Genomic DNA, 20,047 nt, shown 5'->3' on the forward strand with positions numbered 1-20,047 from the left:
CCCTCACATTAAGCAATTCTGACACTAAATATCCGGGGTTAGTGCAGACCCCACAAGCTAAGGGCTCAGTCCTACAAGACTGCCCTCACTTCAGACACCAGTCACAATCCTAAGAGCTACCCACAATCCTAACCAACTGACTGTCAATCACAACCCTCTCCTTGGGTTCCATAATTTGCTAGGATGACTTATAGAACTCAAGAAATCACTTTACTTACTATTGGTGGTTCATTACAAGGAATACAACTGAGGAACAGCCGAATGGAAGAGATGGACACGGCAAGGGTGAGGGGTGGGCACTGCAAAGCTTCCAGGCCCTCTCTGGGTACAACAACCTCCCAGCACCTCAATGTGGTCATCAACCTGGAAATTCCCAAACACCCTTTGTTTGTGGTTTTTTATGGCAGCTTCATTACATAGGGACGATTGATTAGATCATTGACCACAGGTGATTAAGTCAGTCTCCAATCCTCCTCCCCTCCTTGGAGGACCAGGGGATAGGGCTGAAAGTTCCCAACCTCTCATCACCAGCGGGATGCTGGGGCAACCAGCCCCCATCCTCCAAGAGTCAGCTCATTAGCATTAGCAGCTCCAGATGTTTGAAAGAGGCTTATTATGAATAATAAAAGATATTCCTCTAAACTTTATCACTCAGGAAATTCCATTCTAAGGGTTTTAGGAGCTCTGTTCCTGGAAATGGGGACAAAGACCAAATACATATTTCTTATTATATCACAATATCAACCTTTCATTCACCAAACATCAATTAAATCAGTGTAAGGAATGGAGAAGTTCTTCAAAGTTTCTTAAAACCATAAAGAGCTTGTCATTTCTTTGCACTATGCATATCTATATATGTTCCAATGCAACTGCTCTGACTTGACCTGGCGTGCCTGGGCAGGGTTAAGTGAGCCCCAGACCATAGTACATGCCATTCCTTATTTGGAAACCCTCCTGACCCTCTCATGACTAGCTTCCTCTTTTCTTTGTCCTCTTTCCCCTTTGCCTATTTAGAAAAGTTTCAAGCTGTTAGCCAATTGGGTCAAGCTTAGAATGTGAGGTCCTGTTCCAGCCAATGCAAACGGGCACAGCCATAGGATGATTGCATCAGGTTACAAAGATTATAAGTGTCCCCCTCTCCTTTGTTCAGGTGTGCTCTCGTGGTAAGGCTGTTAGCGAGCAGCACGCTTTCTGCAGAAAGTAAACTAGCCTTGCTGAGAGATCCTTTGTCTCAGTGTTGATTGTGCGACACTGAGCACCTGTTTCCCACAATTAGAATTTCGGGATGTGGAACCCAGAAATCAGTGGTTGTTTTATTTATTAATTTATTAATTTATTAATCTATTTATTTGCTCAGCCAAATAGATCCCATTTGTAGTCAAAGTTGGGAGCCACAGCCTTGGAGTAATGGGCTGTTTTCATTTACGATGCTTTCCGCTTGGAGAAATGGAAAACCTCAGGTGAACAGTTTAAACAATAATTTCCAGCCAGGTGCGGTGGCTCATGCCTGTAATCCCAGCACTTTGGGAGGCCAAGGTGGGTGTATTATGAGGACAGGAGTTCAAGACCAGCCTGGCCAAGATGGTGAAACCCCATCTCTACTGAAACTACAAAAATTAGCCAGGTGCGGTGGCAGGCACCTGTAATCCCAGCTACTTGGGAAGCTGAGGCAGGAGAATTGCTTGAACCTGGGCAGCAGAGATTGCAGTGAGCTGAGATCGCGCCACTGTACTCCAGCCCAGGCAACAGAGTAAGACTTTGTCTCAACAAAAAAAAAAAAAAAAAGAATTTCCTTGCCTTCTATAACAAATAGTCCAGAGATGGAGCAGTTGCAGGGGTTGCTTACCTCTAGGATGCGACAGTGTCACTGAGGACCCAGGCTCCCCCATCTCTGCCGAGGCATCTTCCCATCACCGGTGCCTCCTCAGGCTGTGCCCCCAGCTCCTGGTATCACATCCTTGCACAGCCAGGTCCCCAGGCAGAAAAGGCATCCCCCGGAGGACAGAGCTAGGCTCTCAGAGCAAGGGGAGAGAACAGTGGCTGCCATACCACCCCAGGCCTCCTCACCACCTTCTGGGAGTCTCTTTCTGTACTCGTCACCTGGCCTAGCTCTTTTCAGTGATATCATTAGTTTATCTGAAACTCATTTTGATATTTTGATCCTTTTCGCCTCAGATTATTCTAAGATCATAGCAAGACTCGCTGAGCTCCGTGAAGACTGAACTACAAACTGGGATGGCATGAAACAATGGGATTCATGAGAGAGCTAGTGGGTTGGAAGAAAGGTGTGGTTTCTTTTTTATTATACACTTTTATTTATTTATATATATATTTTTTGAGATGGAGTCTAGCTCTGCCACTCAGGCTACAGTGCAGTGGTGTAATCTTGGCTCATTGCAACCTCCGCCTCCCAGGTTCAAGCAATTCTTCTTTCTCAGCCTCCCGAGTAGCTGGGATTACCGGCGCCCACCACCACACTCGGCTTTTTTTTTTTTTTTTTTTTTTTTTGAGACGGAGTTTTGCTCTTGTTGCCCAGGTTGGAGTGCAATGGCACGATCTTGGCTCACTGCAACCTCCGCCTCCAGGGTTCAAGCAATTCTCCTGCCTCAGCATCCTGAGTAGCTGGGATGACAGGCATGTGCCACCATACCTGGCTAATTTTATATTTTTAGTAGAGATGGGATTTCTCCATGTTGGTCAGGCTGGTCTCAAACTCCCCACCTCAGGTGATCTGTCCACCTCGGCCTCCCAAAGTGTTGGAATTACAGGCGTGAGCCACCGGACCCAGCTAATTTTTTGTATTTTTAGTAGAGATGGGGTTTCGCCATGTTGACCAGGCTGGTCTTGAACTCCTGATCTCAGGTGATTCACCTGCCTTGGCCTCCCAAAGTGTTGGGATTACAGGCATGAGCCACCGCGCCTGGTCTTTTTTATTATATACTTATTTGTACTATTATAAACAGAGGAAGCTCCTGCTGCTGTCTACAGACCCTTTGATTTCAGTGACCAAGCCGAACTAGCTCCCTCCCAGCACTGCTGTGGGTGTTTGAGTTGTGAGTTGGGGAGCCTGCCTACCTCTTGGTGTCCCTCTCCTACTTCCTGGTTATCCTTTTATCTGGCATTCCTCGGCCTTGGGTGCACGCCGGAATCTTTCCATGTCATTGTGTACTGACCTAGCTCCTTCTTTGTCATAGCTATATGGAATTCACTTTTACAAAGTAATTGCAGCCTATTTATCCCTCACTGATGCACGTTTACGTTTATGGTTTTCTGGCTTTTTTACCATCACCCGCAGTGCTGCAGTAAATTTCCTTCCACAGATATTTTGGGTTGTATTGCATGGTGAATTCCCCTACAGGGGAATTGCTGAGTCAAAGCATATGTGTATGTTTTGTAGATATTTCCAAACTGCCCTCCAAAAAGTGTGTTCCGATTTTCCCTCTCCCCACAGCAGCACATGGGAACGCCTGTCTTTGCACTCCTCCACCACCATCGCAGACTGGCACTCTGGAAGACACTTGCCAGCCTGAGATGTGAAAAACACCACACAGTTTTTATTTGCATTTTCTTCGTTATGATCCTGGTGATAATAATGTTTTAAAACAAGAACAAGCTGCCTTAAATTGCTGCCTTGGGTGGGGGCAGAGTGAGGGTGGATGGAGAATGAACCATTTCCTATAAAAGCAGAGAGAGGCACAGCAGGCTGCCCTGGCGAAACTCGCCAGGTGTCTTTTTATTTTTATTTTTATTTTTTTATTTTTATTATTTTTTATTTTTTGAGACGAAGTCTCTCGCTGTCGCCCAGGCTGGAGTGCAGCGGCGCGATCTCGGCTCACTGCAAGCTCCACCTCCCAGGTTCACACCATTCTCCTGCCTCAGCCTGGCGAGTAGCTGGGACTACAAGGCGCCTGCCACCACGCCCGGCTAAATTTTTGTATTTTTGGTAGAGGCAGGGTTTCACCATGTTAGTCAGGATGGCCTCGATCTCCTGACCTCGTGATCTATATGCCTCGGCCTCCCAAAGTGCTGGGATTACAGGCGTGAGCCACCGCGCCCGGCCTATTTTTATTTATTTATTTTTTTTGAGACGGGATCTCGCTCTGTGGCCTAGGCTGGAGTGCAGGGGCTGGGTCACGGCTCACTGCAGCCTGGACCTCCTGGGCTCAAGCGATCCGCCCCGCTCAGCCTCCCAGAGTGCCAGGATCACAGGCATGAGCCACCGCTGGGCCAACGTCTTTTGATGGAGCCTTGGTTAGACCCTCAGCGTGAGGAAGGCCTGGCTTAGACTGGAATGCCTGTCTCAGGTGAACAGAAAGGTGGGACATGCACCCAGGGACGGGCCTCGTTCTCAGAGACGCGCCACAGTCCTCCCGCCTCTGTCTGGGACTGACGCCCCCTGTGAGGTCTTGTCAAATTCCAGCTGGCCCACCTCCACCCCAAGGTGGAGTAGGCGGGTCTAGCGGCCCTTGCTGGAGTGCGCAGGTCCCTGCTACCAACAGTCACTGAACAGCCGGGGAGTAGCCGGGCAGGGCAGCTCCCGGCCGGATTCAGAAGATCCTGTGCGGGTGAGGAGCCCGCCTGAGTTGCATCTTCCACTGGGGGAGAGGAAGTAGGGGCAGAGTTGAGAACCTGAGGGAAATTCTGGACACGTCCCCTTTCCACTCCCCCTATCCCTGATCTTGAGCCCCACAAAGCAGGCCAGCTCACCATCACACCCCCAAAAGCCCTAGGCAGGTGCGGGGGCACAGAGTAGGCACACAGTAGGTCTTTATTGGATATATTAATGAACTCAGTGTTGGGGGCGGGGACCATTCACAGGCCCCATCCCCAGTTTAACAGCCCTGCACTAGAGAAACCCCCCTTCTCCCCGAGGCGACAACCGGGCTGGTGGCCTCCCCAGGGGCGCAGGACCAGACTGCTTGGGAAGAGTCCGGTTCTTCCATTCCACTTATCTACCTGCCCCCGTGTCCAAAATCTTTTAAAGGAGGCTAAGGACGCTATCTAGCTTAGTGTAGGTGTAAATGTGTTAGTGTGAAGTACTTAAGATCGTTCCAGGCCGGGCGCGGTAGCTCACACCTGTAATCCCAGCACTTTGGAAGGCTGAGGCGGGTGGATCACGAGGTCAGGAGTTCAAGACCAGCCTGGCCAAGATGGTGAAACCCCATCCCTGGTAAAAATACAAAAAATTAGTCGGGCCTGGTGGTGGGCGCCTGTAGTCCCCGCCACTCAGGAGGCTGAGGCAGAGAATTGCTTGAACCCGGGAGGCAGAGGTTGCAGTGAGCCAAGATTGCACCACTGCACTCCAGCCTGGGTGACAGAGTGAGACTCCATCTCAAAAAACGCAAAACAAAACAAAACAAACAAACAAAAAAAACCTGTTCCTGGCTCTATTGATAGTCAGTAAATGTTCCTATCATTATCCTGGCCTCCTGACAGTCTACCTAAGACCCTCTTCCCAACCTGCCCATGGCCATTACAGCTGGGAAGCTTCCCCTTCACCCTCAGAAGGTTTGCTGAAAAATCAACTCACAAAGAGGCAGATTAATAAGAGAAAAGGCACGCAAATGTATCACCACCGTGCACACTGGATATGCACACTGGATAATCACAGTGACAGCCTGACATCCTAGTGAGTACAGATGCTTATACATCCTAATTCTAGGCTGGATGCAGTGGCTCACACTTGTAATCCCAGCACTTTGGGAGGCCGAGGCAGGCGGACCACCTGAAGTCAGGAGTTCGAGACCAGCCTGGCCAATATGGTGAAACCCCGTCTTTCCTAAAAAATACAAAAATTAGTCAGGCCTAGTGGTGGGCACCTGTAATCCCAGCTACTCCGGAGGCTGAGGCTGGAGAATCACTTGAATTTAGGAGGCAGAGGTTGCAATGAGCCAACATTGTAGCACTGCACTCCAGCCTGGGCGACAGAGCAAGACTCCGTCTCCAAAAAAAGAAAAGTATACACACTACTTCTTAGGGAAAAGGTAGATGAGGAAGTGTGGATGATTTGCAGGGTTGGTAAATGATTTGTAAGGGAATTCAGGGGCTTGAAGAACATACAATGATCTGTAACAAAGTTGGGCCCGGGGAACAAACAGTGGTTTGTAACAAAGTTGGGCCCGGGGAACAGACAGTGGTTTGTAACAAAATGTCCAGGCTTGTTGACAGTCTTCAGTCTTCCTTCCTGTGATATGGGTTGGGTTTTTTGATACATATAAGTAAATAATAGAGATGGGAGCTGCCATGTTGCCCAGGTTGGTCTGGAAATCCTGGCCTCAAGCAGTCTTCCTGTCTCAACCTCCCAAACAGTTAAGATTACAGATATGAGCCATCACGCCTTACTATGAGTTCAGTTAATGAAAACAAAGGGACGGGGCCAGAGATACTTGGGGAACAATTTTTCTCCTTGGCAAGTCTGTCTGGTCTTCATACAGGTAGGGAAAAAGTGTCTTCTTCCATCTGCTGATCCTTAAGGGCCTTTAATACAAAATACCATACCAGGGAGCCATATTTCAGGTGAAGTTCCCTGTGGCCCTTCACCACTCACAGACAGCTGGAGCAAGTTTCCAAAGCCTTTTCAGCTCTTCCTGGAGAGGCAGCCCCATCTAGCAAATACAAATACAGAGTACCCAGCTACGTCTGAATTTCAGATAAACAAGAAATTTAGTATAAGTACATCTGGTGCCATATTTAGGAGATACTTATACTAAAACATTATTCATCGTGTATCTGAGATTCATATTTAACTGGGCATCCTGTGTTTCTATCCAGCAACTTTACTGTCAGGCTCACTGTCAGAGTCCCTCCCCCTTTTCCTTTTTCCCAACAGGAAATTATATTTTGACAATATTTTGGATTACTTTCAAAGCATTATCTCACTATTTACAGTAATGCGTTTAATCTTTTTAAAAGAATATCCCCTTGCATGAGAGCACTGTTTCCTCAACTAGTCTGGTTGGAAGAAGATCCTGGGGTCCTGGACCCCACCTCAGACCAACCAGATCAGAACCTCCAGGTAACAGGCTTGGGAACCCGTGTTTACGGCAAGTGCCTCAGTGATGCCATCACACAGGCAAGTCTGGGAAATGCTGGAAGAGAGGCCACCTCTCTGCTCCAGAGAACACAGTAGATCAGTCCCACAAGGAGTTTGGTCTCTGCTGGGTGGGAGGAGTCTCTTGGCCCATGATAAGTGCTCCATGAAGCTCTGTGGGCTGAATGCCGGGCAAGAGCACACACACAGCTCAGGCTGTGGGGGCATGTTGGGGCTGGTTGCCCTCCCAGGGGATGCCAGGACCCCACAAATGACCTCTACTGGCCTCACTGCTGTCTCCTGAGACCACCCAGGGCCCTGCCTCCCCCTTATGCTTCTCCAGTCTTGGTGCTGTGGGACTCCTTGCCACTTTTCTTTGAATCCTTGGGTTTTCTGTTCTTAGTCTTTCAAAATCATTAAAGGTAAAAGTTTCTTTTAAACTCCTCTAAAAGTTTCCTTCTCTATTTTTCAATGCTACTTCATTGTTCTCCATCTTTTTTTTTTTTTGAGACGGATTCTCACTCTGTTGCCCAGGCTGGAGTGCAGTGGCGCGATCTCTGGCAACCTCTGCCTCTGCCTCCTGGGTTCAAGCGATTCTCCTGCCTCGGCCTCCTGAGTAGCTGGGATTACAGGCACGCGCCACCATGCCTGGCTAATTTTTGTATTTTCAGTAGAGACAAGTTTCACCATTTTGGTCAGGCTGGTCTCGAACTTTTGACCTTGTGATCCACCCGCCTCAGCCTCCCAAAGTGTTGGGATTACAGGCGTGAGCCACTGCACCTGGTGTGTTCTCCATCTTAAACATCTATCCCCACCTCCAACCAAAGACATCTTCATAATTCTGCCTTTTTTTTTTTTTTTTTCTGAGATGGAGTTTCACTCTCGTCGCCCAGGCTGGATCGCAATGGCATGACCTCGGCTCACTGCAACCTTCGCCTCCTGGGTTCAAGCAATACTCCTGCTTTGGCCTCCTGAGTAGCTGGGATTACAGGCGAGCGCTACCATGCCCATCTAATTTTTGTGTTATTAGTAGAGAGAGTTTCACCATGTTGGCCAGGCTGGTCTCAAACTCCTGACCTCAGGTGATCCACCCGCCTCAGCCTCCCAAAGTGCTGGGATTACAGGCGTGAGCCACCGTGTCTGTTCCTGCCTTTCTTTTTTAATGTGAACTTTTACTGAAATATAATGTAAATTTAGCAAAGTGCTTGAAAAAGTGTACAAATAAAAAGAATTTTCACAAGGTACAGACATGCGTATAAGCAGCACATTGCTGAGCACAACCTGGAAACCCTCAGTACCCCCTTTCCAGTCTCGAGTGCCCCTTCTGAGAAACCCTCCTCTGGAGTCCTAACTTCATACATTAGTAGTTTTACCTCTTTTTGAACTTCACATAAATTGAACCACCCAGTATGCATTCTTTAGTGTCTCCTCCCACCTAACCGTGTGTTCATGGGATTCCTCCGCACCGAGAAGACTGCAGTTAGTCCACGCTAGCTGCTTACTGTCCACCATTGTGGGGATACAAGTTCTGCTGTTGATAAACTTTTAGTTTGCTTCTAATTTTTTATTATTACAAATCACATTCTTGTCATGTCTTTCAGTGACTGTATCTATGAATTTAGGAGAATTGCTGGGTCACAGTGTGTGTGTATGTTTAACTTTCATAGATAATGTCAAAAAGTTTGACAAAGTGAAATTTATATTTCCAGCAGCAAAGCCCCCACTTGCTCTGTGTCCTTGCCAACACTGGGTTCTTGCCGTCCAGGTGGGTGCACAGTCCTACTTTTCTATTAAGTACATACTTTTGCAAAGTAATCATTTGAAAAAGAAACATCCAGACTGAAACAGGAAAGGTCTGAAAAAAGGTGAGATTCCGGTGGCTGAGAAAGTGAGCAGGAGGAAAGAGCATACTCCGGGGGTCAGCTCAGGTCCAGGGAACAACAGCTGATGGTGATGATAATAAGTGGTTGTTAACTGTTCCCACATGGGAAGTGCTGCTCAACACACATTTTTAACATCTTTGACAGCCTTAAGAGAGAACTACTATTACATTCACTTTAAACATGACACACAGGGATGTTACATAACCTTCCCTGGGTTCCCAGCTTAATTATTTTTTTCCTCTCATTAAGCACACACAATTCTTTTATTTTATTTTTATTTATTTATTTTTTTCTCCCCAGGTTATACAGCTTTAAACGAAACTGCCTGTGGTCTTTCACGAAGCATACAACACTTTTGACTGATTTCGTCTGCTCGCAAGAGGGGCAGGGTGGCCTACACTGGCGATTTGCCTCTTGTCCCAGGGTCCAAACAGTGTCAGCTGCTGATTTCTCCAGCTGCCTGGCAACCTATTCACAGTGATTCTCAAACTTGAATTGTGAGCTTTGTAAATGGTGTCAAGTACACATTCACATTCCAAGGCTCCAGCCTTTCCTCCCTTGGATTCTGTTTGAGTAGGTCAGGAATGGAATTAGGATCCATTTGTAACAAGGGCCCCTGGCAATTGCTACATAAGCAAGGATGGTCTGATTGAGGCAGTGCGGGGTTTGGAAATTTCTACTCCAAGGAGTCTTGAAGCCAAGTAACCAGAGATTGCTGCAGGCAGCTGGAAAAGGCAGCACTGAGGGGAGCCTTGGGGTCATGCCTCCTCATCCATCCTGGAGCGTGTGGGTGTAAATGCATTTAAGTTTTACTTTTTAAATACATGCATATGCACAGAAATGTGTGTGTGTACATGTTAAACTTTCATAGACAATGCCATATATGTACACACATACATACATACATATAGTCTATCCACATTAGTCATGAAATCCACATTTGCAAAGTCACCTACTCTCTTTTTTTTTTTTTTCGAAACGGAGTTTTGCTCTGTCTCTCAGGCTGAAGTGCAGTGCCACCATCTCGGCTCACTGCAACCTCCGCCTCCCGGGTTCAAGCAATTCTCTGCCTCAGCCTTCTGAGTATCTGGGATTACAGGCACCTGCAACCACGCCCAGCTAATTTTTTGTATTTTTAGTCGAGACTGGGTTTCACCATTTTGGCCAGGCTGGTCTTGAACTCCTGACCTTGTGATCCACCCACCTCAGCCTCCCAAAGTGCTGGGATTACAGTCGTGAGCCATCGTGCTCAGCCACAAAGTCACCTACTCTCTGAAACGCATTTGAAACCTCAAAACTGAGTACTCGTGGTGCTTCTGTGGTCATTTGCAGACATGTGCAAAGCTGTGAAAAATGTGAGTTGCTTGACACGCAGTTCCCTACTGAGGTCAAACAAAGCAAGGCTCTGCGTCTTGTTCTCTACACACAGGGTCTTTTCTTGGTCCATTTAGTGCCATATCTTTTGCATTTTGTGCTTTTGGGTGGTGATTTTGCTGTTTAATGTGGTCCCCAGGCATAGTGCTGAAGCGTTGTCTAATTGTTCGTAAGTGCAGGAAGGCTGTGATGTGCCTTCCGGAGGAAACACACTTGTTAGAGAATCTTCATTCAAGCATGAGCTACAGTGTTGTCCAGTGTTCGAGGTGCCTTTATAGGACACAGCTACTGCCGGCTTCCCAGCCAGACTGAGAGCTCAGGGTGTAGGCAGCGCCTCCTTCCTGCATTCCTAGCTCCAGTGCTGTTCAGCTTCAGTGGAACCTGGTGAGCACCGCTCTCAGCAGGCTGAGCTTCCAAGGGATCTACGGCCACATAGGGCCTTCCCTGTACTCACAGAGACTAGCAGGGAGCTCTTCTTCAGCCACTCGTGCAGCCTGGACACCCCACCCCCTGTGAACCCTCTCCCATGTGGAAGCTAGTAGTTACCAGAAGGAAAGGAAAAACAGTCACAGAGCATGCACTGCGCATTCTAGGGCACAGTTCAGGGAAATTGGGCCCATTTATGACTCTTAAATTCATACGTGCCTATTTCAGTGCAAATATCTCAAGGAACTTAAGTTCATACGAAGGTTCTCTGCGTTACAGATGGGAAATGAATCCAAATGTTCTTTCTGGGCTAAGCTGGTTAGAAAAACATCAGCCACGTCGAGAGAGCACCTCTGTCCTTGGTGACCAGCTGGGCTTTGCGATCCCTGGTAGGGCCAAGCCAGCATGCAGGAGGGGTGTGGGAAGCACTCCAAGCCCAGTGGATAGCTGGCTACAGCTAAGTGAAGGGTCCCTGCAGGGAGGCTTCCCAGCGTCCCCAGAAGGCAGGCTGTGAGCTCTTGGCAATCCTCCTAATGTCCCTCTGATACACAGTTAACCTGCTAACAAAGTAGTTCTTGGGTGTGAATATTGGGGATCCTCCATATTTTTTGCTCTTGTGGTCCTTTAAAAAATTATGTAATCTGAGCTGAGACAGAAAGATCTTTCCTGCTTTTGGCTGAAATAGATCAAAAGACTCTTGCTGTAAGAATTGCTTGGTGCTGTCCATTCTGAGTGATGGAACAGTGGGGAGGTGTTGCTAAGCAACACTGCACATCCTTCCGAAGTCCATCATCTCCTAGCAACAGGCGGTGGGGTGCGACCCCCCTGCTGCGGGAGCCACCACGGGTGCGCTGCCTGATGCCCATTTCACTCCCCTCTGGTCACAGGCATTCACTCTTGCGACAGCTGGACTTCTTGAGTGCCTACAAATCCCCTTACCAGGAACCAGGGATACAGAAATCCAAAGTTGAGGTCTCTGCCTTCAGTGGGAGTTCAGCCTGGTTTAGAGCAAGATATAGAAACAAACAAAAAACTGTATCATCTCAACAGTTGACCTCAGAGTACTTCCTCAGGAAGGCCTTGGCTTTATTTAGGAAAGATCTGGATAAACTTCTGGAGCACGACAATTTGGTTCACGAGGGCACAGCTGTTGTCAGAGACAGGAATTGGTGGTTGGAGTTACTGAAAGAGAGGGGAAGAGAAGGCAGGACGTGCACAGGTGGCCCAGCTGTGAGAAAACCTGGCTGGAGGACCACTTTCAAGAGTGATATGGATTTTTAAGTGCTTTGCTTTTAAAAGTACCTCCGGTGACCCATAAATCTTCAGTAAACATTCTGTGGCTCCCAGCAGAATTCTGTTCACTGTTACCACGGAAGAAGTGATCAAAGAGAAGGGGCTCTGTTGGGTGCATGCCAGGGCAGAGGTCAAGGAAAAGCCACGGATAGGGACAAAGAACAGCTTGACAAAGGCTGAAAGTTGACACAAAGGCGACCTTGAGAACAAAAGCCCCCTGCCCCCAAAATTCAGAGAAACGTTGGGCAGGACACTGACTCCAGTCTGAGAAGCTGGGTGGTGGGATCTGAATGGGTCCTATCCAGATCTGAAGGGTGGGGAGCACCCACTGACTCCTGGCTGTCTGGTGGCAAAAGTGAGGGGAGGAGCTTCCAGTTCTACCTGGGAGGCAGGGAAAGGTGCCCAGAGGAGGTGATGCCAAGCAAACTCCCACAGGAGGAGACAGGAGGAGGTGCTCATGAGAGGGCTCCAGCCAAGCAAAGGGAGCAAGGGCCCATCTGCCCATCGGGTGTCAAACCTCTGAACATGGAGAAGTTGTCATTTAGTGAGGTGTGGGGCAAAGGTGGAAAACCTCAGACATGACACCCCAGCTTCAGTAAAAGACTACATTTTTTTCTCAGATTCAAATCTCACACCAGGATGGCCCTGTCTACCTTCGAAAGTGGTGCCGTATCCAGAAATAGATGATGGCTGGATGGATAAACAGACACCAAAGAGAAACCCATTACCCTCTCTCAAGAAGATTGTCTAAGAGCGTATTCTCAGAGCAGCCTCTGATGCTGGGCATGGCAGAGCTCACAGAAGGACTGAACTTTTTAAAATTCACACTGTGCTATCTGGCTTGCTGAGTCAGTTTGCAAAGCACTTGCGTTGTTAGTATCTGGCTTACCTCCTTATTTCAGGGAGAAAGTTTCCCGGCCTGTGGTGGCTGCCCTGAGGCAGTCTGCCAGCTTCCCTGTGTCTGCTCTGCCTCAGTCATCTCAGGGTGCAGGCAAAGCCGGCCCTTCTACCTGGCAGTGCTGAACTAGGAAAAAGTTTGCTCAAAAACACTGAACAGCCTGCCCCGGGGATGGGTGCATTCAATGTGTCTGCGCTGTCAGATACATCTGGCTTCTGCATTCAGGACAATTACAGGGCACTTTGCAAAATTACTTACTGAGACGGAGGGCCCGAGAGCACTTCTGTTGTGACAGTGGAGACGGCCACTCAGAAAGGCTGCTCTTTAAAGGACGATGGAGGTGCTAACGGAGAGCCTGGTTCCCAGGCTCACCCACACCTTCCAGGGCATGTGGGTGGACGTGGAAGTCAGTAAAAAGCAAGGGCTTCTCCCAGTGCAGGGCCTGGAAGAAGGAAGGGCATGGGGGCGGTCTGGCTCTGGTCCTAACAGCTGGTCGGGAAAGGCTTCTCATGAGCACTTCACACACAAAGTGAGACTGATGGATGTTCTGAGGAGCCACCTTGCATGCCGGTGTCTGTTGAAGGAATGAACGTGTGGACAGCGCAGGTGCATAGATCCAGTCTTCCTCACTGGCTGTGGTGATCTCACTGGTCCACATGCCCCCTCTGTTCTTATAGGAACCAAACAGTCCATTTCGAGGTGGAACCTCACAACAGCTCTCCGGGCCCTCCCAGACACACCCCGGGACGGGGAGGGGAGTATGCTGTAGGGCCAGGGTCACCTGGGGTTATTTTGTTCCACGGTTGTCAAACAGACCGACCCTCAGCAGAGAGGCAGGGCGAGGAAGGCAAAAAAAGAGGGAGACCTGGGCTGCAACTGAGGTTGCCACGGTTTCCATCTCTGCTCAGGGTCTTGCCTCTGCAGATTTGATTCAGAAAGTGGAGCTGTTAGTATACCAAGAAGGAAGGTGTCTGTGGGAAATTAATTCACACTCACAGGGCTTGTAAGCCAGAAGGCTGGCTTCCTTGTTGATTGTTGGAGGCATAAAGATGACCTTGCCTGTGAGCCTGGCCTGAGCACTTTGCCAAGCTGTCCTTCAAGTATAAAGGTGACAGACAAACATTCTCCAAGATCAGAGGGAGACAGCACCCAGGGCCCTTTAAAAATGTAGTTGAACATAGTGAGATCACGTCTCTACAAAAAGTAAAAATAAAAAATTAGCTGGGCATGGTGGCACATGCCTGTGGTCCCAGCTTACTGGGAGGCTGAGGTGGGAGGATCCTGTGAGCCCAGAAGTTCAAGGCTGCAGTGAGCTGTGATTGCACCATTGCACTCCAGCCTCTGCGACAGAGACAGACCCTGTCTCTAAAAGAAAAAAAGTAGCTGAAAATGAAGTCTGGCCAACCAAGAGATGAAGCAAAATGAGAAATGAAGTCAGGGAGAAGCCATGGGGAAAAGATTGGTAAGAGAGATGACTCCATGTAAGCAAATAGTTAAAGCTAGACTATGGAAGAAATTGTGGCTTCAGAATAAAATGTAAATCTTGACAGGAGAAAGCTAGCAAACTCAGGGGGCTGAGGAGAGGAGGGAAGAGGAAATGTAAGAATGTCAATTTCCTTATTCATAACAAGGAGTTAGTAGATACCGTCTGTAATTAAAACTAAAACACATTTTAAAATAATTGCTACTTATTAATATTTTTCATAAACCCTTTCCTCAATTTTAGCAGGTTATTTTATAAACCATTATTTTTTTTTCTTTTTTCTTGTTTTAGTTGTTTTGACAGGGGGCCTCATTCTGTTGCCAAGGCTGGAGTGCAGCAGCACAATCATAATTCACTACAGCCTCACAACCTTTTGGGCTCAAGCAATCTTCCCACCTCAGCCTCCCAAGTAGCTGGGACTACAGATAGGTGCCATCATGCTTGGTTAATTTTTGTTTTTTTTTTTTGTAGAGACAAGGTCTTGCCATGTTGCCCAGGCTGGTCTCAAACTACTGAGCTCAAGCGATCTTCATGCCTCATCCTCCCAAGTTCCTGGGACCACTAGTATTTTTCGTAATGAGGAAATATTTCTCTGAAATTCAGCAATTTCTTTCATTTTACTTCAGTTTCTTTTGTGTGGCCAGGGCCGGGGGTGGGAGTTGTTAAATTTAAGCACAATTATCCTCAATATTTATTGTTTAAAATAGAACGTAGGCACTAATAATAAAATAAGAAGCTATCATCAAGAAACAACATTAAAGGAGTTCAGGGAGAAGCCAATAGGATGTGAAAGGTATTTGCAACATAATCTTAACAAATCAGTGAGAAAAAGGCAAACCTACCCAGTAGAAATAAATTGTGTGAAAGATTTGAACAGGCACTTCACAAAACAGATAGTAGCTGAATTGGCCAATAAATACAAGGAAAGGTGCTCAACCTCATTAGTCGTCAAAGAAATGCATATTAAAACCACAAGAAGCTATGGCATCATACTCAGAATAGCCAAAATGAAGGGGAAAAAACCCCTGAAATATCAAGTGTAGACAGTGGACATCCCTGGAGCTCTCATGCATTGTTGGTAACAGGGTAAATGGGTACAGCTATCTGGGAAAACAGGCCCTGACCTCCCCTTCCCCTTCCCTTTCCCTTTCCCCCCTCCCCTTCCTCTCTCTTTACTCTTCCTTCCTTCCTTCCTTCCTTCCTTCCTTCCTTCCTTCCTTCCTTCCTTCCTTCCTTCCTTCCTTTTGTCCTTTCTTTCTTTAGGATCTCACAATGTTGTCCAGGCTAATCTGGGCTCAAGCTATCCTCTTGCCTCAGCCTCCCAAGTGACTGGAACTACAGGCATATGGCATCACACCAGGCTGTTTGGCCTTTTCTGATTAAAGTTGAGTGTATACATTCTTCATGACCCAAAAATTCTACTCCTGGGTAACAATTCTATTAGAGTAATATCTAACAAATATATACATATGTATACCAAAACATGGACAGGAATATGCATAGCAGCATTATTTAGAAAAGCCCCAAACTGAAATAATCCAAATACTCACTGGCAGTTGAATGCATAAACTGTGGCGAAAATGGAATAGTCATAGCAACCAAAATGAATGGGTATGTGAAATGTTATCAATAATTCTCACAAAGACAATTTTGAGCCAAAGAAGCCAGACAGAATAATACTTAATTCCTTTTATAAAAAGTGAAAATGAAAATATGAAAGGAATCTATGCTTTTAGAAGTCTGGGGCTGGGCGCAGTGGCTCATGCCTGTAATCCCAGCATTTTGGGAGGCTAAGGCAGGCAGATCACAAGGTCATGAGTTTAAGACCAGCCTGGACAACACGGTGAAACCCCGTCTCTACTAAAAATACAAAAAAAAAAAAAAAAGTTAGCTGGGTGTGATGGTGGGCACCTCTAATCCCAGCTACTTGGGAGGATGAGGCAGGAGAATTGCTTGAACCTGGGAGGCAGAGGTTGCAGTGAGCTGAGATGATGCCACTGCACTCCAGCCTGGGCAACAGAGAAAGATTCTATCTCAAAAAAAAAAACAAAAAAAAAACAAAACAAAACAAAAAAAAAGTCTGGACAGCGATACTTAGGGGAAGAAGGAGGGAATCATGATTATGAGAACTTTTGCCTTGTCAAGGACAGAAGGGAGGCTTTTGGGATGCAGGTAATGTTCTATTGACCCAAGTGAAGGTTGCACAAATGTATTTATTTTGCAATAATTGTTTTTTTAGTTTTTTTTTTTTTTTTGGAGACAGAGTCTTACTCTGTCGCCCAGGCTGGAGTGCAGTGGTGCGATCTCGGCTCACTGCAAGCTCTGTCCCCCGGGTTCACACCATTCTGCTGCCTCAGCCTCCCGAGTAGCTGGGACTACAGGTGCCCGCCACCACGCCCGGCTAATTTTTTTGTATTTTTAGTAGACACAGGGTTTCACCGTGTTAGCCAAGATGGTCTCGATCTCCTGACCTCGTGATTCGCCTGCCTCCACCTCCCAAAGTGCTGGGATTACAGGTGTGAGCCACTGCGCCTGGCCTTTTTTTTTGTTTTTGTTTGTTTGTTTGTTTGTTTGTTTGTTTGTTTTTTGAGATGGAGTCTCTGTTGCCCAGGCTGGAATGCAAGGGAGACATCTTGGCTCACTGCAACCTCCACCTCCTGGGTTCAAGTGATTCCCTTGCCTCAGCCTCCTGAGTAGCTGGGGTCACAGGCATCTGCCACAATGTCAGGCTAATTTTTGTATTTTTAGTAGAGATGGGGTTTTGCCATGTTTTGGCCAGGCTGGTCTCGAACTCCTGACCTCAGGTGACCCACCTGCCTTGGCCTCCAAAGTGCTGGGATTACAGGCATGAGCCACCGCACCCGGCCTTTTTTAGGTTTTTACTATTTATTTATGACAAATATTCCACATCCATGATTCTCTTCAGTCAAAAGTTCTTTAATACAATCCGTCGGTCTTGGCCAATTGGAGAATGCAGTCATGTGACTTACCCATCCTGCGAATGGCCCTGCAGATAGCATAGGTTTTAAACTGGTGGTTAAACCTGCCTGCTACCTTGTCAACCTTGGCCCCGTTCATCTGGATGGATTTGTGGTCCTTGGCATCGATGATGCAGTTGCTATTGGACCATTTCCATGGCATGTACAGGCCTATGAACTCACCAGTGTCATTCTGCATCTCAAAGCCGCACCTGCTGCCGCCACACTGCGCGCGAGCAGAGAAAGCCATTTTGTGATAATTATTGCATTTGCAATTTTAATTTGTTCCCAAGCTGGTAGTATATATGTATGCTGTACTTCCATAAAAGTTTTTTGATAATAAGGTTAAAATTAAAATTTAAAAGTAGAATTGTGATATCTCATTTTGGTATAATTATTCTTTCTACGTGTGGGTAAGCATTGAGAGTTTTTTTTTGTTTGTTTTTGTTTTTGTTTTTGTTTTTGTTTTTGTTTTTGAGATGGAGTTTTGCTCTTGTTGCCCAGGCTGGAGTGCAATAGCATGATCTCGGCTCACTGCAACCTCTGCCTCCCGGGTTCAAGCAATTCTCATGTCTCAGCTTCCCAAGTAGCTGGGATTACAGGCATCTGCCACCACATCCAGCTAATTTTTGTGGTTTTAGTAGAGGCGGGGTTTCACCATGTTGGCCAGGCTGGTCTTGAACTCCTGACCTCAGGTGATCTGCCTGCCTCAGCTTTCCAAAGTGCTAGGATTACAGGTGTGAGCCAGTGCGCCTGGTCTGCATTGAGAGATTTTTATTTATTTATTTATTTTTGAGACGGAGTCTCACTCTGTCACCCAGGCTGGAGTGCAATGGCGTGGTCTCAGCTCACTGCAACCTCTGCCTCCTGAGTTCAAGCTATTCTTCTGCCTCACCCTCCTTAGTAGCTGGGACTACAGGCACGTGCCTCCACACCTGGCTAATTTTTGTATTTTTATTTTTTTTAATTTAATTTATTAATTTATTTATTTATTTGAGACAGAGTCTCACACTGTCGCCCAGGCTGGAGTGCAGTGGCACAATCTCGGCTCACTGCAACCTCCACCTCCCGTCCACGGCCAGCTAATTTTTTTGTATTTTTAGTAGAGACAGGGTTTCATTATGTTGGTCAGGCTGGTCTCAAACTCCTGACCTCGTGATCTACCTGCCTCGGCCTCCCAAAGTGCTGGGACTACAGGCGTGAGCCACTGCACCCGGCCGAGAGATTTTTATAAGGATCTTTGCTAAATATTCATAAAGGTTTTTTCTGGATGGTAACATTTAAGGTGAGTTAAAATTCATATTACTGTTTGAATTTCTTTTTTCTTTCTTTCTTTTTTGAGATGGAGTCTCACTCTGTCTCCCAGGCTGGAGTGCAATGGCGCAATCTCGGCTCATTGCAACCTCTGCCTCTCGGGTTCAAGCGATTCTCCTGCCTCAGCCTCCCGAGTAGCTGGGACTGCAGGCGCCCGCCACCATGCCTGGCTAATTTTTGTATTTTTTTTTTCAGTAGAGATGGGGTTTCACCATATTGGCCACGTTGGTCTTGAACTTCTGACCTTGTGATCTGCCCGCCTCGGCCTCCCAAAGTGCTGGGATTACAGGCGTGAGCCACCACGCCCGGCCTATTATTTGAATTTCTATAATGTATGCATCATTTCTACAGAAATCGAGCGATGACATTTTGCTACAAAGTAAAAAGACCTTGTTCAATGGCAAGGATGGGTGAAAACCAAGAGGGCATTAGAAGAGGAATAAATGTAATTAGGACTGCCCAGCAACAGGGCGGAGCAGTGTGCTTTACAAAGGAGTGATCCTCTGGCTTTGGAAGTATCCCGGCAGAAGAGGATGAAGGGCTGTCTCTGCAGAGATTTCACCCTGTGCCTCCAGCCCTGATTCCATGCGTCTGATGCCATGACCGTGCTGCAGTTGGCTACTGTTCAGCGACATTTGGGAGGCATTGGTCTCATTAGAGCCTTTTGCTCAAAGCCAACTGGAGGAGGGGTTATTTCAGGAAATGATTCCTAGACACATCTGTTCTCTTTGCTGATGTGTGGATTCTTGTTAGCCTCAAACACAGAGGCTGTTGCCTTTAATTTGGGTTTTCTATCATCCTTTGTGGCCTATCCCCATTATTCCTTGAGCACTTTTTACTTTCTGGTACAAGATGCTCCAAGCTTATATTTTCTGTGCTTCAGGCCTGGAATCAGCCATTTTTCTTAGAAAACCTGATTTCTTTTGAGGAGAGAATAATATCTAAAAACCAAGGTCTTGGGTGCTCACTGTGATAGGTGAGTGTATGGCTGCAGGGGTTTTCATTGCTCACAGGCTTCCTCAGTGAACAGAGCAGGGCAATACATGGGTAAACATAAACACGCATACCTGCATGCATACATTCATCTATATTTCCATATTAAAATATGTTGAAAACCATGGGTTCTCACCAATATTTTCAATTCTAATCCATTTTCACAGTTTTTATTCTAGTTGTTCCCTTTAGTACAGTTGATCCTTAATGCAGGGACTAGGGGCGCTATCTCCACAGCTGATAATCCACATAAAATTTTGTAGCCACTTCCTGTTGCTGTTGCAGTGAGCTCAAGTGTCATATCACCTAAAGTGCTATGTGATGTGTATCCAGGGTCTATGCTACCTGCTTTATAGGGATTATCTCATTTTGGAA

At 46.9% G+C, this 20,047-nt stretch overlaps 1 pseudogene, besides 2 other annotated features; it reads right to left on the minus strand.

Moving 5' to 3' along the window:
• Positions 948–1,007: a silencer, noted in NCBI's record as "silent region_11847". NCBI's record gives its function as "represses an Ori minimal core promoter by ATAC-STARR-seq in GM12878 lymphoblastoid cells {active_cell/tissue: GM12878}" and the evidence as "EXISTENCE:reporter gene assay evidence [ECO:0000049][PMID:35858748]".
• Positions 11,944–12,238: an enhancer, noted in NCBI's record as "tiled region #2466; HepG2 Activating DNase matched - State 5:Enh". NCBI's record gives its function as "activates a minimal TATA promoter and a strong SV40 promoter by Sharpr-MPRA in HepG2 cells {active_cell/tissue: HepG2}" and the evidence as "EXISTENCE:reporter gene assay evidence [ECO:0000049][PMID:27701403]".
• Positions 17,260–17,611, minus strand: RPS21P2 (ribosomal protein S21 pseudogene 2; annotated as a pseudogene).

Source organism: Homo sapiens, chromosome 2, assembly GCF_000001405.40.
Source record: "Homo sapiens chromosome 2, GRCh38.p14 Primary Assembly".
Classification (NCBI taxonomy): domain Eukaryota; kingdom Metazoa; phylum Chordata; class Mammalia; order Primates; family Hominidae; genus Homo; species Homo sapiens.